The 22304-nt window shown below is 39.4% G+C and overlaps 1 protein-coding gene across 4 annotated transcripts in view; it reads right to left on the bottom strand.

Annotated features, from left to right (window-relative positions):
• PRELID2 (PRELI domain containing 2) overlaps positions 1-22304 on the bottom strand; it is a 606358-nt gene that overhangs the window by 275221 nt on the left and 308833 nt on the right. For 2 of the 4 annotated variants that reach the window (XM_047416832.1, XM_047416828.1), the window contains one exon: positions 11508-11634. The exons of the other annotated variants lie outside the window; for them this stretch is intronic. The gene's annotated coding sequence lies outside the window, so the exon portion shown is untranslated. Of the gene's footprint in view, positions 1-11507; positions 11635-22304 lie in introns of those variants that run through there. 4 annotated transcript variants of the gene reach the window in all.

A 22304-nucleotide genomic window follows, 5' to 3' on the forward strand; every position in this document is an offset into this window, starting at 1 on the left:
TGTGACCTTGGGCTGGATCAACTTAACCTCACCAAACCCCAGTTTTTACATCCTTAAAATGGAGGTAATAGAACCCACATTCCAGAGGTTGATATGAAGATTGAAGTAGATAAGGCATATAAAGGACTTTTATTAGAGTAACTGGCCCATAGTAAATGCTTAATAAACAGAAGCTACTAATTTCCTTAACTACAAAGCACATAGTATTTTCATTTGATCTTCGCCAAAAGGCTGAGAAGCGATACACATAACATTTTCTAGAAACATTTTATCTTTCATGTTCCAGATCATGTTGTTTTCCTTGAAATTTCTTTCAGTGGACAGATGACCACAGGCAGAACAGGTAAGGCAACGTGGGGTCATGAACACTTGATTCATCTATCTGGTTAGGATAATTGCCACAGGGAGACATACCTGAACTCATCAGCTAAGTACCTCCCTTTTATTTAGTAACTGAACCCTTCCTCATCTGATCTCATTTGTTGTCTTCTAATCACCTTTTCAAAATTCCATTTAGATTTTCCTTCATAGAAGAGGCAGCTCTCTTCATGCATACTTCATTCTACCCTTGATTATTGTCTACTTCATTTGCATATAACTTATCTAATTATATTGTTACCTAGTAGGTCCCTGTAACCTAGTTTCCTGGGATGGTGCCTACCCAGCTGAGAACCACACAGACTTTCTCCAAATGGTTGAACACCAATATATTCTTGTTCACTTCACATTTTGGACACAGGACTATAAATACTCTGCAGTCTCTTTGGCCCTAACTGGCCTCTGTCTTCACATACTTAAGCAAGCACATCCTATTCTCCTTAATCCACTAATTTGATATATTGTCATTCAATAACACAGCATACAGAATGTTTCCAAGCATACATGACCATAGAAGTATACATTTGCAAGCACACTAGCTCTATACATACTGTATACACTTATATTTAAACATACATTTTCTTCTCTGATTCAATAGATTTCTATTCTGATCAATACTATTCATCAAATAGTCAGGAAAGAGAAAAAACACATTTACTACCATCCAAGTGCAAGCCATCATCAATGCCACCACTAGTCCATATGGTGGTTTCTTACAAATTAGAAAAATACACTCCCTCTGAGTAGCTATGGCCTTGTGACAAAATTTACAATAGGGAACATCTGAGTTGGACTGTAGCTCTCATTTTCCCACTTTTCTGGACACTCTCAGCAGCACAAATCCCAAATAACTATACATGGTAGCCCTGAACATCTTTTTCTTGATTACTATAATAACCTCTCATCTGATCTTCCTTCTTTTTTGTTCTTGACAAACTATATTTTATTCTCAACATTTTGATCTTTTCAAAATATAAATCAGATCATATGACTCTCCAGCTCGAAATCCTCATACTTGGAATAAAATGCAAGAACTACCACATGACCCAGCAATACCACTCCTAGATGTTTATCCAAAAGAATTGAAATCAGGATCTCGAAGAGATATTTGCATTCCCATGTTCATTGTTGCATTATTCACAATAGCCAAGATGTGGAAAAGCATAAATTCCCATCAACAGAAGAATGGATAAAGAAAATGTGGTGTATACATCCAATGGAATATTATTCAGCCTTAAAAAGAAAATCCTGCAATATGTGACAATATGGATGAAACTTGAGAACACTATGTATGTGAAATAAGCCAGTCACAGAAGGACAAATACTGTATGATTCCACTTACATGAAATATCTAAAAAGTCAAACTCATAGAAATGGAAAATAGAATGGTGGTTTCCAGGGGCTGGGAGGAGAGAAAATGTGGAGTTACCAAGAGGATTCTAGAGGTCTGATGTACAACATTGTGCCTATAGATAACAATGCTATGTTGCATTTTTAAAATTTAAGAGAGTAGATCTCATGCTAAATGTTCTTGCTACAATTAGAAAAATTAAATTTAAAAGAAAATTATTGACCCACAAGAGCCTGTATGATTTGGCCCCTCTCTTCATTGCTTCAAATCCTGCCCCTTTTGCTCACTCTGCTTCCATCAGAATGGCTTTCTTTCTGTTTCTGGGACATTCCAAGTTTATTCCCAGTTCAGAGATTTTGTTCCTTCTCTTAGTCCACTAGGATACATAACAAACCACTCCCCGAATGAGTAGCTTGCTACAATAAGCCTTTTGTGCATATTTGTGCATGGGTCTGCTGGTCAGTTCTAGATTTGCAAGGACCAGCTCTGCTTCAGGCCATAGGTCAGCTCAGCTTGGCTTCAAACTATGAGTTCAGTTCATATCTGCCTTGTGTGTGCCCAATTCTGCTTAACCAGTGCTACCCAGGCCATGTTCCTTTCATTGTGCGTAATAGGAGTACAAGAGACCAAGCTGAACTGTGAAAGCACTGAATTTAAAACCTTGAAGAACTTCCCATTGGCCAAAACAAGCCATTCAATCAAGCCCAACATTAATGGGGCAGGAAATGACACTCTGCCCACAATGGGAGGATACTGCAAAGTTATCTGGCAAATGGGGTAGATATATAATCCTATTAAGGACAATGAAGGATTAAGACCAATAATTCCATCTGCCAGGCCCCTGCTGCTACCAGCAACTAGAATTTTCTGTTCCCACATTTATTCGTGGCTGGCTCTATCTTTGGTTTCAATGCCACCTCCTCAGAGAGGCCCTCTATGACCACCTGTGCTCAGGTCACCCTCAATGGCTCTCTAATTCATTATCCATTTTTGTTTTGTTTATTGTATGCATAAATTTCAATTAACTCATTTGTTTGTTGGCTCACTTGTTCATTGTCTCCCTCCTCTGGAAATATACACAAGGATTTTCTCTGTCTTATTCACTATTTAAACTGCAACTAGAGCATCACTTAGCATACAGTAAGGGCTCAATAAATCCTTATAAGATAAATACATTCTAGAAACCTGCATTCTTATGTACACTTGCATTTTTGCTTTTCATTCCAATGTTAGTCCCTCAGCATATTTTCAGTTATTCTTTGTCAAATATAAATAAATGTCTGAATGCGGGGTGGGAGGGTCAGGGAGGAAGACTATGTACTATGTCATATAGTCAAAAATAAAGGATTTGGAATCAAGTTCTAGCAGTGTATGACCTAAGCCTTAGTATTATTATCTATAAAATGGGGGGGAAAAACTGCAGATTTGGCCATAGGGATTAAACTAGGTGATGCCTGTATAACACTTCCCTGAAGTTGGAGAGAGTAGCATGTAGTAAGATGGGAAAGGTAGACACAACTCAGTTAGTGGAGCCAATGTAGAGTCTCTTAATGGATGATTCAGAAGGGATATGTGTTTTCCAGTTTTTCAAACAGATTTTCCCTGTGTTTTTTCTAGTATAAGTGGATCCACAGATTGCCAGTCCCCATTGTCACCCAGGTCATTCTGCTGGGGCTGTGGATGGCTGCATTCCCCCATGGCCCTCTAGTGTTTGCAAGTGCTGAGGGACTTTTGGTGGCCTTTTTCACTGGCTTTTGTTTCCACAAGAATTGCTTCAAGCCGACAAGACTGTCTCCACATTAACCCTAAATGATATGGCCACACCTTTCTATCAGACCCTAATAAAATTCTGTTTTGGAGACATGGAGCCAGATGGAGTCCTTTTATTGCTCATCATTTCTGAGCATTCTCCTTCCTTGAAAAACTGTATTAATCAATTAATTTTCCCATGAGGTAGGTAAGAAACTAACTTGAAGAATTAGCATTTTGTTAGAAGGGTAAATTAAGGGAAAGAGTAACAACTCACCCTAATGTTAGTTCTCCTAGTTGAGCTAATATGTAGTTAATTCTCTTATTTTAGCATTAACTTTGCATTAGTATTGTCCTCCCATGTTCATAAAGATTACCAAAATTTAGTAGTTTAATAATGCTTTTGTGGCAATAGTATAAGAAAACAGTCACTCTTGTTTAGCGATAGTGCGAATCTATAATCTTTCCCAAGAGAAATTTGGCATTTCTATCTATTCCATATTTAAAATGCACATTCACATTGGCTGAAAAAATCAATTTCAAGGATTTAGGCTGGAGTTACTTTTGCATAGACAGATAGATAGATAGATAGATAGATAGATAGATAGATAGATTAAAAAATGTAAAGATTATCTATTAATCAATCTTTTTTCTCCACATTGTTGAAGTTGAAATAAACAGACATATAGTTGTATATGCTTAGAAAAGTTTTAGAAGGCTGCACAAAAAACTACTCAGAATGTTTAATGGAGGTAAAAAAGCCAAAGTGACAGAGAGTGAGTAAACACCAAGTAGAAAGAAAAAGCTTTTATTTCCCCCATTTAATGGGATGGTGACTGAATTCATTAAAGTTAGTATATTTTATTTTTATTTTTAAATATTTAATTAATAAAATTAAAAAGAAAGAAAACATTGTGTCTGTCCCTACAGGATTTTGGGATCTAGATATCATAGGGCACCTATCTTCTCCTCTTGCTCATGGTCCTGACTCACTTGCTCCTAAATCAGAGACAGGATACACATTCTTACTAAAATAAGAGAATTGTTTACATCTCAAGAGTTCTCCCTCAAATGATGCAAGGCAAAGGAGAAAACAAACATGCAGGAAGTCGCTGGCTTGAGGGGTGGGAACAGAATGGTGGACCAAAAATAACCGGCCTGGCATAACCAGCAAGCAACATCATCCTGTGGCAGGGAATCAGGGATGCCCTTTGGATCTTTTCTGAACTGAGGCTTGACTCTCCATGTTGAAAGTAGTAGAGCAGAATTGAAATACTGGTCTAATGAGTCCAAATTCATAATCATAGTCTGTAAAAAACTGAAATGAGGGTCACCTTGTCAAAGTCAAACACTGGAATTCAGTGGTTTTAACTGAGAGGGTTCCTGCAAGAGGTAAGAGATAGAGTAGGTATTTGCATCCTGGGCTGAAAAAATGAAGTGCATGTCACAGGAAAATTGGCTGTGAACATCCGTGATATGGGTTAACAATTACAACAGCAATGACAACTGCTATGTGTTGAATATGTACTGTGAGTCAGCCATTATGCTAAGCATGCTACATACACTTTCTCGTCGAAAGCTGCAACAGATTTATCAGGTTTATTTTACAGATTAAATACTTAGTCCTACAGTTTATAAGTGGTAGAGCCAGGAATAAAACTACATTGGCCTGATTTTCCAAACCCATGCTCTCAACTACTCTATGACAAGATGCTTTTATTTAGAATTGCCCTGGAATTCTAAGTGGCATTTTAGAGAGGCAAGGTCACCCAGGCTGCCCTGCACAACAGCAGAAAATTTCACATGTCTGAGCACCCATTATCCAGGCTGCCTGGGCCAAGACTCAGGGCAAGGGCCACCCTGCCTTTCCTTTTGCCATCTCTGAAAGAGGAGTTCTGCCAGAACCATAAGTAATAATGATTCACAAAGTGCACAGTCATTACTGTGTTGATAATTTCCCAAGCTACTTTGGTTTTCCCAAGCTCTTAGGATAGAAACAAACTTTTGCTTTTCTTCATCCTCCTTCATTTTGTTCTTTAAAACAATGTAACACTGTAAAGCAGATGCTGTTTTCTTCCTTTTAATATTGAGGAAATGGTTGCTCTGACACATCAAGCATCTTGCCCAAAGTTAGTTAACAAATTACCTAACCTCTCAGAATCTGTTTTTTCACTGATAAGTTGGAGATAATATCTAACCCTTAGAGTGGCTGAGATCATATTTCCAAAGTTCAGAGCAGAAAGTAGGCATTTGATAAACTGCACCTGCTCTCGTTGTTAAGTAATTATATTACTTAATGTGATACCATTGTGTGAAGCTGCATACAACATGCATGACCTTGAGCAAGTTACATAACTTATCGGAACACCTTTTTGTCCCAGGGGAGTATTATCATTCAACTTGCTTGGCTATTTTGAGGACTGAATGAAATAAATGCTCTACATAAAATAGCTACGCTAGTGACTGGTTCACACTCAAACCTCAATAAATAATCATCTCCATAAAAAAGAATGCTGTTGACACGTGTTCACCTATAGAACTCCATGAACTTGACCTATCATGTTTGAAAGCAACATCTTTGCTTTCTTTGCTCTTCCCTCACCACACTTTTTCCCAGACTCTTTAGAAATATATAGAATATTAAACAAGACTTTTTTCTCTCCATTGACATTGTTTTTTAATGGGACTAGACAGCCTTACAACAGGCTCCAGCTTTTTTTCTCATCCTTCAAGTCATGGAGGGCTCTTCCTAGCGGCCTGCAGTAAGAGGCCTCAGAGGGGGAGGCATTCTTGCCTGGATCTTATTCAGAAACACTGATGATGCAATTCTTGGCTCTGGCCACATGCTTGATTGATTTCCAGTACAGCATTTGATGTGAAGGGGAGGAAGAAAGAATCCCTCTCACCCATGGCTAGAAATAATTTCAGAAGGCTGGAGGCAAAGCAGAGGTGATGCTAGCTATCTCCTGGAACTGTTGATAAACCAGCAGTCTCCTGCAAGCCAATTTTATGCATTTGCTTTTCTATCTTTTTGCTCCCCACTACCTATGTCCTCTTACTGGGCATGCTGGGAAAAGCCTCACAAATTTAACTAAGGAAACTCTGGGTGTCCTGTCATCTAATCTTCAGCCTGAGGTTGTAGCTGCCTTTTGCAATGTCTTCTCTCCAAATCAGCATACCTGATTAGAAGACCTGTTCCCTCATGCTCAGCCTTTAGGTGCCCAGTTTTGGAATTCAGCATCTCTACATGAAATATGCCAGATCCGTCAAGAGGCCAGATGGTTCACAGATGCCTGGAAGCAGGGCAAAGTAAGCTGACTGAGGTATGTGGTGTAAGATGCAGCAAACAATATCACCAGGAGGCTGGAAACTCAAAGGTGATGTCAGTCATGTCGCCTCTTGATTCAGAAGGGTAATGATGTCAATCTCTAACTGCTGTCCTGAAATCCAGTTCAGTGAAAGCTATCACTAACCACAGTGCCTGTCTTCATAGGAACACAGGAAGCTATTTTTTCATCTGCTGTTTGTGATGTGATGATCTTCAAGAAATGCACATGCATAGCTTTAATTGAGACCTACAAAGGCCAAAGAGTTCAAATGTTTTAATTAAAAAATAGTACCGTTATATACTTATTACGTGTCTAGCATTATCTCTTCTAAATCTCACACTATTATATCAGCCCAGTCATTACAAAGTTATCCTCACTACACAAATGGAAAAATCAAGGAATGGAGAGCACTCTTAAATACCTTCTTCGTGACTGAAAAGCTAATGTATTCACCAGGAAAGCATCTGAAGGGAACAGAATACCCAACAGACAGTGAATTCCACAAGTGGGGATTGTGCTGTTCTTACGTGACAGTATGATGAGAGATAGGCAGCTATGGCCATTCATTTCGTGGTTCAAAAATGTCCAGCCAGCATCTCTGTGGATTTCAGTGGCCTTTCCTTCATGGTTACAGAATGACTGTTTCAACTCTGGGCATGAAGTCTGCATTCAAAATGGCTGAAACATATCAAGGGACAATGCCAGCATCTCTGTACATTCTATTAGGAAAACAATATCTTCCAGGAACTTTCTGAAGACCACCTGGTAACAACTCAATGGTCAGAAATAAATCACATGAACATCCTCTATCTGCAAGAGAAACTGGAAAATAAAGTATTTTGCCTCTCTAGCCTCCATAGTGGAAGCTGACGAGAGAGAGATTATGCTAGCTTGGACTGGGGCTAGCATACTTACTTACTGGGGCAGTGGCAGTAAAATTAGTGAGAAGTAGATGGCCTCAAGAGATATTTTGTGGTAAAAAATCATAAGGCAAATCTTGTAGACTGATTGCATGTGGAAAATGAGCAAGAAGAGGGAATCAGCAATGAATCCTAGGTCTCTAACTTGGTACATTCACTGAGATCAGGAGTCATCAAGAAGGAATAAATTTTGTAGATGAAAGCTCATGAGAAGAAGGTGGTGGCTGGCAAGATGGCCGAATAGGAACAGCTCCAGGCTGCAGCTCCCAGCGAGATCAACACAGAAGGCAGGTGATTTCTACACTTCTAACTGAGGTACCCAGTTAATCTAATTGGGACTGGTTAGACAGTGGGTGCAGCCCCCAGAGTGAGAGCCAAAGCAGGGTGGGGAGTCGCCTCACTTGGGAAGTGCGCGGTTTTCCCCTCACAGTGTAAACAAATCCACCTGGAACTTAAACTGGAAAGAGCCCTCCACAGGTTGGCAAAGCTGCTGTAGCCAGACTCCTCTCTAGATTCTTCCTCTCTGGGCAGGGCATCTCTGAAAGAAAGGCAGCAGCCCCAGTAAGGGGCTTATAGATCAAACTCCCATCTCCCAGGGACAAAGCACCTGGGGGAGGAGGTGCAGCTTCAGCAGACTTAAATGTTCTTGCCTGCCAGCTCTGAAGAGAGCAGCGGATGTCCCAGCACAGTGCTCTAACTCTGCTAAGGGACAGACTGCCTCCTCAAGTGGGTCCCTGACCCCATGCCTCCTGTCTGAGAGACACTTCCCAGCAGGGGTCAACCGACACCTCATACAGAAGAGCACTGGTTGGCATCTGGTGGGTGCCCCTCTGGGACGAAGCTTCCAAAGGAAGGAACAGGAAGCAAACTTTGCTGTTCTGCAGCCTCTGCTGGTGATACCCAGGCAAACAGGGTGTGGAGTGGACCTTCAGCAAACTCCAGCAGACCTGCAGCAGAGAGGACTGACTGTTAGAAGGAAAACTAACAAACAGAAAGGAATAGCATCAACATCAACAAAAAGGACGTCCACACAAAAACCCCATCCGAAGGTCACCAGCATCAAAGACCAAAGATAGATAAATCCACAAAAATGAGGAAAAAACAGCTCAGAAAGGCCAAAAGTTCCAAAAACCAGAATGCCTCTTCTCCTCCAAAGGATCACGACTCCTCGCCAGCAAGGGAACAAAACTGGACGGAGAACGAATTTGACGAGTTGATAGAAGTAGGCTTCAGAAGGTGAATAATAACAAACTCCACTGAGCTAAAGGAGCATGTTCTAACCCAATGGAAGGAAGCTAAGAACCTTGAAAAAAGGTTAGACGAATTGCTACCTAGAATAACCAGTTTAGAAAAAAACACAAATGACCTGAAGGAGCTGAAAAACATAGCACAAGAACTTCGTGAAGCATACACAAGTATCAATAGCCGAACAGATCAAGCAGAAGAAAAGACATCAGAGATTGAAGACAACTTAATGAAATAAAGTGTGAAGACAAGCTTAGAGAAAAAAGAATGAAAATGAACGAACAAAGCCTCCAAGAAATATGGGACTATGTGAAAAGACCGAATCTACGTTTGATTGGTGTACTGAAAGTGATGGGGAGAATGAAACCCAGTGGGAAAACACTCTTCAGGATAACATCCAGCAGAACTTCCCCAATTCCCCAACCTAGCAAGACAGGCCAACATTCAAATTCAGGAAATACAGAGAACACCACGAAGATACTCTTCAAGAAGAGCAACTCCAAGACACATAATTGTCAGATTTACCATGCTTAGAATTAAGGAAAAAATGTTAAGGACAGTCCCAGAGGAATGTCGGGTTACTCACAAAGGGAAGCTCATCAGATTAACGGTGGATCTCTCTGCCAAAACCCTACAAGCCAGGAGAGAGTGGGAGCCAACATACAACATTCTTGGAGAAAAGAATTTTCAACCCAGAATTTCATATCCAGCCAAATTAAGCTTCATAAGCGAGGGAAAAATAAAATCCCTTACAGACAGGCAAATGCTAAGAGATTTTGTCACCACCAGACCTGTCTTACAAGAGCTCCTGAAGGAAGCACTAAATATGGAAAGGAAAAACCAGTACCAGCCACTGCAAAAACATACCAAATTGTAAAGACCATCGACACTATGAAGAAACTGCATGAACTAACGGGCAAAATTACCAGCTAGCATCATAATGACAGAATCAAATTCACACATAACAATATTAACCTTAAATGTAAATGGGTTAAATGCCGCAATTGAAAGACACAGACTGGCAAATTGGATAGTCAAGACCCATCAGTGTGCTGTATTCGGGAGACTCATTTCATGTGCACAGACACACATAGGCTCAAAACAAAGGGATGGAGGAATATTTACCAAGCAAATGGAAAGCAAAAAAAAAAAAAAAGCATGGGTTGCAATCCTAGTCTCTGATTAAACAGACTTTAAACCAGCAAAGATCAAAAAAGACAAAGAAGGGCATTACATAATGGTAAAGGGATCAGTGCAACAAGAAGAGCTAACTATCCTACATGTAAATGCACCCAATAAAGGTGCACCCAGATTGATAAAGCAAGTTCATAAGACCTACAAACAGATTTCGACTCTCACACAATAATAGTGGGAGACTTTAACACTCCACTGTCAATATTAGACAGATCAACAAGATAGAAAATTAACAAGGATATTCAGGACTTGAACTCAGCTCTGGACCAAGTGGACCTAATAGACATCTACAGAACTCTCCACCCCAAATCAATAGCATATTCATTCTTCTCAGCATCACATCACACTTATTCTAAAATTTACCATATAATTGGAAGTAAAACACTCCTTAGCAAATGCAAAAAAAAAGAAAGAAAAGGAAATCATAACAAACAGTCTTAGACCACAGTGCAATCAAATTAGAACTCGTGATTAAGAAACTCACTCAAAACCGCACAACTACATGGAAACTGAACAACCTGCTCCTGAATGACTACTGGGTAAATAACAAAATTAAGGCAGAAATAAATAAGTTCTTTGAAACCAATGAGAACAAAGATACAACGTACCAGAATCTCTAGGACATAGCTGAAGCAGTGTTTAGAGGGAAATTTATAGCACTAAATGGCCACAGGACAAAGCGGGAAAGACCTAAAGTCAACACTCTAACATCAAAATTAAAACAACTAGAGAAGCAAGAGCAAACAAATTCAAAAGCTAGCAGAGACAAGAAATAACTAAGATGAGAACAGAACTGAAGGAGATAGAGACACGAAAAGCCCTTCAAAAAATTAATGAATCCAGGAGCTGGTTTTTTGAAAAGACTAAAATAGACCACTAGCTAGACTAATAAAGAATAAAAGAGAGAAGAATCAAATAGACACAATAAAAAATGATATAGGGGATATCACCACTGATCCCACAGAAATACAAACTGCCATCAGAGAATACTTTAAACACATCTATGCAAATAAACTAGAAAATCTAGAAGATAAATTCCTGGATGCATACACCCTCCCAAGACTAAACCAGGAAAAAGTCAAATCCCTGAATAAAACAATGACAAGTTCTGAAATTGAGGCAATAATTAATAGCCTACCAAACAAAAAAGCCCAGGACCAGACACATTCACAGATGGATTCTACCCGAGTTACAAAGAGAAGCTGGTACCATTCCTTCTGAAACTATTCCAAACAATAGAAAAAGAGGTGATTCTTCCTAACTCATTTTATGAGGCCAGCATCATCCTGATACCAAACTTGGCAGAGACAAGAAAACAACAAAAATTTCAGGCCAATATACCTGATGAACATCAATGCAAAAATCCTCAATAAAATACTGGGAAACCGAATGCAGCAGCACATCAAGAAGCTTATCCACCACGATCAAGTCGCCTTCATCCCTGGGACGCAAGCCTGGTTCAGCATACCTAAAACAATAAACGTAATCCATCACATAAACAGAACCAATGACAAAAACCACATGATTATCTCAATAGATGCAGAAAAGGCCTTTGACAAAATTCAACAATTCTTTATGCTAAAAACTCTCAATAAACTAGGTATCGATGGAGTGTATCTCAAAATAATAAGAGCTATTTATGACAAAGCCACAGCCAATATCATACTGAATGGGCAAAAACTGGAAGCATTCCCTTTGAAAACTGGCACAAAACAAGGATGCCCTCTCTCACCACTCCTATTCAACATAGTATTGGAAGTTCTGTCCAGGGCAATCAGGCAAGAGAAAGAAATAAAGGTTATTCAAATGGGAAGAGAGGAAGTCAAATTGTCTCTGCTTGCAGATGACATGATTGTGTATTTAGAAAACCCCATCGTCTGAGCCCAAAATCTCCTCAAGCTGATAAGCAAATTCAGCAAAGTCTCAGGATACAAAATCAATGTGCAAAAATCACAAACATTTCTATACACCAATAAAAGACAGAGAGCCAAATCATGAGTGAACTCCCATTCACAATTACTACAAAGGGAATAAAATGCCTAGCAATACAAATTACAAGGGATGTGAAGGACCTCTTCAGAGAGAACTACAAACCACTGCTCAAGGTAATAAGAGAGGATAAAAACAAATGGAGAAACATTCCATGCTCATGGACAGGAAGAATCAATATCGTGAAAATGGCCATATTGCCCAAAGTAATTTATAGATTCAATGCTGTCCCCATCAAGCTACCATTGACTTTCTTTACAGAGTAGAAAAAAACTACTTTAAATTTCATATGGAACCAAAAAAGACCCCATATAGTGAAGACAATCTTAAGCAATAAGAATAAAGCTGAAGGCACCACACGACCTGATGTTAAACTATACTACAAGGCTCCAGTAACCAAAACAGCATGGTACTGGTACCAAAACAGATATATAGACCAATGGAACAGAACAGAGCACTCAGAAGTAATGCCACACATCTACACCCATCTGATCTTTGACAAACCTGACAAAAACAAGCAACTGGGAAAGGATTCCCTATTTAATAAATGGTGTTGGGAAAACTGGCTAGCTATACACAGAAAACTGAAACTGGACCCTTTCCTTACACTTTATACAAAAATTAACCCAAGATGGATTAAAGACTTAAAAGTAAGACCTAAAACCATAAAAACCCAGAAGAAAACCTAGACAATACCATTCAGGACACAGGCATGAGCAAAGACTTCATGACTAAAACACCAAAAGCAATGGTAACAAAAGCCAAAATTGACAAATGGGATCTAATTAAACTAAAGAGCTTCTGCACAGCAAAAGAAATTATCATCAGAGTGAACAGGCAACCTACAGAATAGGAGAAAATTTTTGCAATCTATCCATCTGACAAAGGGCTAATATCCAGAATCTACAAGGAAATTAAAGAAATTTACGAGAAAAAAAAAATGAACAACCCCATCAAAATATGGGTGAAAGATATGAACAGACACTTCTCGAAAGAAGACATTTATGTGGCCAGAAAAACATGAAAAAAAGCTCATTATCACTGGTCATTACAGAAATGCAAATCAAAACCACGATGAGATACCATCTCATGCCAGTTAAAATGGTGATTACTAAAAAGTCAGGAAACAACAGATTCTGGAGATGTGGAGATATATATAGGAACAATTTTACACTGTTGGTGGGAGTGGAAATTAATTCAATCACTGTGGAAGACCGTGTGGCAATTCCTCAAGGATCTAGAACCAGAAGTACCATTTGACCCAGCCATTCCATTACTGGGTATATACCCAAAGGATTATAAATTATTCTACTATAAAGACACATGCACATGTATGTTTATTGTAGCACTGTTCACAATAGCAAAGGCTTGAAACCAACCCAAATGCCCATCAGTAATAGACTGGATAAAGAAAATGTGGCACATATACACCATGGAATACTATGCAGCCATAAAAAAGGATGAATTCATGTCCTTTGCAGGGACATGGATGAAGGTGGAAACCATCATTCTCAGCAAACTAACACAGGAACAGAAAACCAAACATTGCATGTTCTCACTCATAAGTGGGTGTTGAACTATGAGAACACATGGACACAGGGTTGGGAACATCACACACTGGGGCCTGTCAGTGGGTGGTGGGCTAGGGGACCGATAGCATTAGGAGAAATACCTAATGTAGATGGTGGGTTAATGGGTGCAGCAAACCACCATGGCACATGTATCCCTATGTAACAAACCTGCACATTTTGCAAATGTGTCCCAGAACTTGAAGTATAATAATAATAATAATAATAATAATAATAATAATAATAATAATGATGTCATGAGTGCACTCTTGGTTTTGTTTGTGTGTTTGAGACAGAGTCTCTCTCTGTCACCCAGGTTGGAGTGCAGTGGCACGATCTCAGCTCACTGCAACCTCTGCCTCCCAGGTTCAAGTGATTCTTCTGCCTCACCCTCCCAAGTAGCTGGGACTACAGGTGTGCACCACCAAGCCCAGCTAATTTTTGTATTTTTAGTAGAGATGGGGTTTTACCATATTGGCCAGGCTGGTCTCGAGTTCCTGACCTCGTGATCCTCCCACCTCGGCCTCCCAAAGGGCTGGGATTACAGGCGTGAACCACCACGCCCGGCCATGAGTGCACGTTTGTACCTATTCAGAATAAAGTGTCTTTCAGACATCTAAATACAGATGTTGCCAGTTAAATACAAAGATTGGAAGTAAGAGAAGTTGTCTAGGCTAACAATATAGAGGATTAACATTTATGGTTATCAGTCATTTGCATCAATCAATCCTTTAGTGATATCTCTGCTGTGTGGAATTTCCTATACCAGTTGTTCTCAAGCAGGTGCAATTTTTTCCACGAGGAGATACCTGGCAATAGCTAAAGACATTTTTGGTGTCTCAACTCAGGGAAGGGGTTCCTATTGGCATCTAGCAGACAGAGGCCAGGTATGCTGCTAAACATTTTAAAGTACACAGAACAATCCCTTACAATGAAGGTTTATCCAGTCCAAATTGTCAATAGTTCTGAGGTTGAGAAACTTGCTCTATGGTAAACTCAATTTTGACCTTAATATTTCCCTGATCCACAGTGTTCCTGAATGTTCCATTTTTGTATCCCATAACTTCCCACTATTCTGATGTTGCCACTGTCTTTAACTTGCCATGACATCATTTTACAATGGCTTTTCATATCATAACCTGCCCTCAGCACCAAGACTTCTCTGGTGGAGCTGCATGGACACAGATATTATTGTTGACTTGACAAAAGTTATGTTTAAAGTTATCTAGCACTAGGAGCCTGACTTCTTTTATAATTCACAATTGAAGAGGCTCCCAAACACCGAGTTAAAGAAAAACTTGTCCTTATAAATAAATTCAATCACTACCCATAAGACACTGAATTTAAGAGGTATCTTGAATGTGCTGAAGGTAACCTTTAGGATGTGTATAAATAATTGCTGTGTTAGACACAATGTTTTATCCCAAGCGGTAACCTAGGCTAAAAGTATAGAGAAAATTGCTTAAAATGGAAATCTGAAGATATTTGAGATACATCCTAAGTTTTTGAGGATGATGTCAATAACAGCCACATACCCTATAAACCATTACTTGGTTTTCCTCTGATAGTCACTTTCTTACACTTTTCTGATTATCCACTTGAAAAACATTAACTTGCCTTACCTATAAAAGCCATACAGTTGCTTCCGATGAGGCTTTATTAGCCATATTTATTTTAGAGATTCACTGTCATGATAAACCAATTGAGTAGGAGCTCTTTTTATTTTAGCAAGAATCTAGTACAGGAAATGTACTATTCTTAAGGACCTATTAAAAAGCTCAACATGTCTGAATTCATAGGCTCTGATCCAATGATGTGGAGACCAGCAGACCATTAAAATTAATTGAAAGTGCTGAACCATTTCAAGATTGATTTATTTTATATTACAAAAAAATTAAATAAAACGGGAGGTGCTAGGTTAGCCTCTGCCCTAAAGAATTAGTCTAAAATTACAATTGAAACATCTCAAATGGTATTATTGTGAAACTCATTAAGATATACATTAGGTTTCCAAATCATACTTATGCTCTTTGTAATTTAATAATGAGCTACCCTCATTTAGAAATAACTTGGCTCTCAATGGTGAGCAAGTAGTCAGGATTCCGACCAATTTGAGCACCTAGTGAGAACCTAGAATATCTTACCAGTGCAAAGCCACCTATTTAGGTGAGCTTTTTCTTTCTTTGGGGTACAAAAAAATTCTGTAAAGGAACATTTTCCCGCTAAACCAAGACTATGTTATTTTGTTGAATTCTGCATTCTTCTTTATTGTTCCTGGCATACAGGACATAACATTTGGAGGCATTTCCCCTGAAGTGTCTAAAGTGACTTCAATAGCAGCCATTCCTGTGTCTTCTGAACTGGTGGTAAAGGCAGGGAAAAGCAGGAAATCCTCTCTATAAATAAAAACATCTGCAACAAAGAGGTAACAATGACAAGCTTAAATCCTTGCACTTGCCAAGCTTCCCTCAAAGTATCCGTCAGGTCTCATCTTGCACCTCTCTCCCCTTCCCACGCTGAACCACAGCACACACAAGCCTTCTTCAGTTTCCCAACACACAGTGTTGTGCCTCATCTGTTCACCTGCAGTTCTCATCCCCTGAATGTGCTGCCCCCTCTCTCCAGGCAGCCAGCTTCCCATACACCCATCCCATGTCTTTCTCAGGAACCTGCCCAGCCAGCCACCTGGCACGGGGCTGATTCCCAATGTTATACCCTCCCTTGACATTCTGGGTTTCCTATAAATACCCATTCCTATAAATGTGTCGTAATTAATTAATTATTAACTGTATAAATATGTTTTAGTATCCTTCTCCTACTAGAATTTAAACCTCAAGCAGACAAGGATTGCCTGTTTTCATATTATCATCTCATCCCTAGAAACTAGCACAATGCCGAGAACATAGTACTCAATATATGTTGAATGAATACATAAAAATAAACTTTCTATTAACCTGGACCACATTCTTATTTTACTCATTTGTTTCTTTTCTGAGTATATATAATTGAGCACAATTTGCATTAACGTGTTCCCATTTGACAGGCAAAAGAGTCCCCCTCCCCACCCCGCTATATCCCAAGGGACATAATTAGCTAATGTGTATATAGATTCTAAGTTGACAGGGAGTTAACAAATCTACGGCTTTCATGGGTAAGGACAGTGTTTAATTCACAGAAATTAAAGATGAGGAATGTCAGTTAGTTAATCTCAGGCTGGAGAGAAAGAAGAATTGCCAGTTGCTGAGATCCTAGTCATTCTTTTGTGGCATATTTAAATGTTCCGACCATTTATTTATAATGAGGCACAGTGGGGAGCTAAAATGAACTTCCCCGTATAAGCTTTGCCAGCATTTCTGTGAAAGATTGGCACCATCTATCCCAGAGTCTTAGCTATTGCCTGTCACATGGTTACTCTACATGGGGCAGCATGCTCAAATTCCTGCAGGGGCCTGTTAATGCTTGAATGAAGCTGATTGTAGAAGGGGCTCTGTGGAAAACTGGAGCAGACTCCAATTAGCTGCAATCAATTCCTGCCATGTACAACATGGGGATCCAGTGTGGTTGTAAAATATTCCCATTTTTAAATGAGTCGTTTTTAAAATCACTGTGTATACTGTATACATTACACACACACACATATATATATTATACATATATATAAGGTATATCTGGAATGGATACATTCAAGGACCAAGGTTGCCAGATCTGCCTCATAATCCCTATCTTTGTTCTTCAGGGAACAGGTAGCTGTCTATGGCAAGAAATGCAGCCTGGAGCAGACCCACGCACTGTGTAGGGCAGAGAAACTAGTCACAGCCAGGTATCCTCTTGGCTCAAAGTTCAAAGAATACTACTTTACTTCCCCAATGCCAACACCAGATCAATCCTCCTCTCTCTGAAACCTGGTTGGTGATAAACACAGTCTTAATTTACCATATAGATAGAAAGCACCAGTTCCAACTTGTATTTGACCATAGAAAGTTGCCCTGCTAGAAAAAATTTTAACATCATTCAATTTATGTTCCTTCTAATACAGCCTGTTTCTCTACCAGTGAAAGAAAATTGCCGTGCTGCTTTTCATTTCTTTAATTCATTCATTTGTTGAGAAATTTTAAAAATATAACAAAAAATAGACTAAAACATGTACCTCCCATCAAAAGATAAAACTATTAAAATGTTGTCATATTTGCTTCAAGTTTTTCTTTAAATAAATGAAATAAAACATTACAAATTAAGATAAAATTTCTTTGTCCCAATTCCTAGTCTCTTCATCTCTCCTTTCTTCAAGACCATTTATTTGAACTATATCTATCCAGTCCCTTTTGCATTTTTACATGCATATAAATACATCAAACAGCAGCTGTATTATATTATTTTAGGTATTTTATTTGCATAAATGTCATACTACATGTAGCTTCTGCAATGTGTTTTATTGGTTATCACTGTGTATCTATCTATAGATACAGAGACACACACACACACACACACGAGAGAGAGAGAGAGAAAGAGAGACAGAGAGACAGAGAGAGAGAAAATGAGAGAGGCACAGAGAGACAGAGAAGAGTTCATGTTTTCACTTCTGTATAGTATTTCATTATATGAATATACTTTCTTTTTCTTTTCCCAAATGATGGCGTGTATGCCAGAACATGATGCAACATTGCCCCCAAAATTATCACTCAGATAAAGAAGTACCCATACACTAGACTTCACAAAGACTTTCATATTACAGTGCAATCTTGCATTTACTTTATTTCAAACCACACGACATTGCTGGGGAAGATACATTACCAGAAATAACTTGAAGCAATGTTATCTTTGGAAGAAAAAGGAGGAGGAGGAGGAGGAGGAAGAGAAGGAAGAAGAGGAGGAGGATGAGAGGGGGAGGAGGAGTAGGAGAAGAAGAAGGAGGAGGAAGAGAAAAAGAAGAAGGAGAAGAAAAACAAGAGGAGAGAAAAGAAAGAAGGAAGGAAGGAAATTAATATAGACTAGGTAATCACTTATAAGTAATTGCAAGTGTTGTGTGCCATTATGTATAAACCCTTTAAAGATCACCTTAAAACAATACAGTAATTGGTCAGGTTGTGGAGAGCAAATATATAGCAAGACAAATGAATAAGTCAGCCATCTTAATATTAAGACATGGATCCTTGTAGTTGGGGTAAAATTTCTAGACAAAGTGTTATAGACTGATTTGTAAACTACTGAGTATCACGTGCCCTGGGATACGATTTATATGACTCAGAAAGTGGTTCTTTTTAGATGAGAAACATGATGTCAAAGGCACATGGGAGAAACGTAAGTCAAATCATCATCTAACAGATGCAATCGGAGGAAAAAACACTTCTAAGTTATTATTTTGTACAACATGTAATTTTAAATAGGTATCGCTAACATTTTAAATAAACAGTTGACTTTTCACATCCCTAACAAAGTTCATATATTCAATTTGGCCCCAAACCATTTTTTGATCTTCTCATTTTAAAAAGGAAGGGGAGAGTATTAGCTCAGGCCACTGTAACAAATACCACACACTGGAAGACTTAAACAACAAAAATTTATTTCTCACAATCCTTCTGAAGTTTGGGAAGATCAAAGTGTAGGCATGGCAGGTTTTATTCTGAGGTCTCTTCTTAGCTGGTAGGTGGCCACCATCTCTCTGTGGCCCCTACTTTCTGTGCAGGGGTTGGGTTGGGGAGGGGAAGGAAAGCAAGCTCTATCAGGGTCCGCTGCTATGGTCTCCTTTAACCTTAAGTATTTCCATAAAGGCCCTCTCTCCAAACACTCCCAGTATTAGCAACACTGGGAAGTTAGGGCTTCCTCATACCAATTTTGGGAGAACACAAATATTCAACTCATAGGAGGTGTCACTGTATATTTTTAGTTATCTTATATTTAGGCATATGATAAATTACTTTAAACTTTTCTTTATTATAAATAATGTAGCAACAAACATCCTTGTACTAGTTTGCACATGCAGATGACCACTTTTGTTTGAAAAACAAAAGTTTTTCTGGTGTATATGCCTAGAAGGAGAATTTCACATTTCTTTCTTATTCTGCTAACGTCTTTAGAAATCTGTGCTGCTTCTCAAAGGATTTTTTTGTTTTTCAGGGGTCAAGGAGCCACTGCAAAATAGGCTGAAATCCCAGGTCAGCTCCTCTCAGAAGTCTCTCTAATAGCAGAGCCCTTTGAAGCACACCACTCTGTGCCAGCCGAGATGATCCTCCCTGGCTGGCTCCCTCACCCACCATTTGTGTATTAGGGACTGGGCAGAGTCGCAGTCTCAAAGTGGCATTCACAGGAATGGGTCATGGGTTGGCCCCAAGAGATTCTGCCACTTGCTTTCAGCCCATCTCTGCAGAGCAGCCATCCCTTCTCATTAGTATGGAGTGCAGATCCCAGAACAAGAATCCGTGCGTGGCCTCTGGGCACTCCAGCCAGAGCGCTAGGATTTGGCCATTTCCCGGGTACAGAGAGGCCTCAAGAGGATGGCCCTAGATGAAGGTAAACTCTCCCCTAATTAAGCTAAAGAGTGAAACTAACTCGAGATTTGAGAAACAGTAGAAACCATTAGTAACTCAGAGAAGCCTTGGATCCAGAAGCAGAGCAAAGAGGGAAAACGTGGTTTTGTTCTCCATGTGGTAATTCTGTAAGTTTGTCCCTTGCTAACGTGGAAGCTCAAAAGCTGATGTGTTTGATAAGCTGATGTGTTTGATGTCCCAGTGACTTCATTCAATGCAATGGAAAGTGCATAAACCCACAAAACTAGGTCCCCTCAGAAAAAGCTCCAATCCAAGTTACCTGGAATAACTCGGAACCAACCAACCATTCTGGGTTACAGTCATAGGATTTGAGCAGCAATTCTCCTTCTGGACGGCTGTGGAACAAGGTGGCTGTGAGCCTCAGTTTCCTCCTCTACAAAACAGAAATAATACCTATCTCACGGGTTTACTGTGAGACTAAGTGTCATAGTGCACATCGGACCCCTACCACGGCCTCTGTTACATAGGAAGAGTTTGACGCAAGTTAGCTAATTATATTTTCCTCTCTTCACTTTAAAAGTAACCAGAACCAATCCTAATGCTAATATCAATACTAATATTAATACAAACACTAATGAGATTAGTCACTGAACATTTATTCTATGCCATTGGGCTGTGTTATCTCATTCAACCTTCACAGTCAGGTTGTATTATTTCAATATGTTCACATTACAAATGAGGAAACCAAGACTCAGAAGGTTAAGTGATTTGCCCAACATCAGACAGTGAGTGACAGGCAGAAATAGAACTCAGACTAAATTAGGCCAATCTCACAGCTCCTTTCTTCACCATGATGGATCCCCTTTGCAAAGTTTCTCCTTGCAATTTGCAGGTAAATTGGGGTGAAAGAAATCTCTAGGAGAATCTGATATATGTATACACACACACCCTTGTTCTCCAAGAATGGGACAAAATTTAAAGTCCTTAATGATATCGCCTTTTTAAATTTCTAAATAATATGGAGTTGAGGGTTTTTCTCACCTGAAGTCTTTGGTGGTTGATTCACCTCATCTCTTCACTTCGCCTCTACAGATGCAACAGGGAAAGCCCACTACAAACTTTCTTGTTCTTGGACTTGATTGCACAGTCTCCAAATATGATCAGCAGTTACCATGAGACAGTTTTTGGGTTCTTTTTCTTTTTGGCTTTCTCTCTGTCTTTTAAACCCAGTGCTTCTCTCCTCAGGCAAAAATTAAGTTTTTGTTCAGACTCAGAGGATTCGGTTTACTCTCAATGATCGAAGAACAAGCATGTGAATGTTTTTCAAAAAAACACACATCAACAACTGCGAGAAACCAATAACCATTTATACTGGGGTTTGGAATAAATCTGGGGCTTGCATTTAAAGGTGGATATATCTGACATTCTAAAAACTGACTTGAGGCCAAACAATGAAGGCCAAACTCCGAAAAAAAGCAGACTCTGCAGCAACTGGAAACCTGATCCATTTTCTTTTCTTTCTGGGTCTACTTCTTTCATTCATGTACTTCTAAGCACCCACACTGTGCAAGGGGCTGGGAGTCAAAGCACTAAAGCACAGGCCTTACGAGTAAGTTGCTCACAAGATGGTGCAGCTAGTGCTATGCCGCAGGGAAGCCCAGAGCACCATCATAGCTATAAAAGCCAGTCATTAACTGAGCTCTGCTCTGTGCCAGCCATGATGCTTTTACATGTGTTCTTTTCTTCAATCTTTACAACATGACAAAGTCCTTATTATTACAAACGTAGAAACCAAAACTCAGGTGATGGGACTCATCCAAGGTCACACGTGTGCTAAGTAGCAGAGATGGGATTTAAGTCTAGAGCAACCTGATTTCAGAACCCAACCTCTTAACTACTCTGTAACACTGTCAAGAGAGCATAATGAAGGGACACAAAACCTGTAGTGAAGGGCAATTAGGGAGGTCTTTCCAGAGGAGGTGTCATCGGGGTCTGGAATGTATACACAATGGCCCAGGGGAAAAAGATGGCAAGCTGCTTCCTATATTTGTACATGGAGAGGCTGGAGAGCAAGCTGGGCCAGGCCATGAAGAGCC

Source organism: Homo sapiens, chromosome 5 (assembly GCF_000001405.40).
Source record: "Homo sapiens chromosome 5, GRCh38.p14 Primary Assembly".
Taxonomy (NCBI): Eukaryota; Metazoa; Chordata; class Mammalia; order Primates; family Hominidae; genus Homo; species Homo sapiens.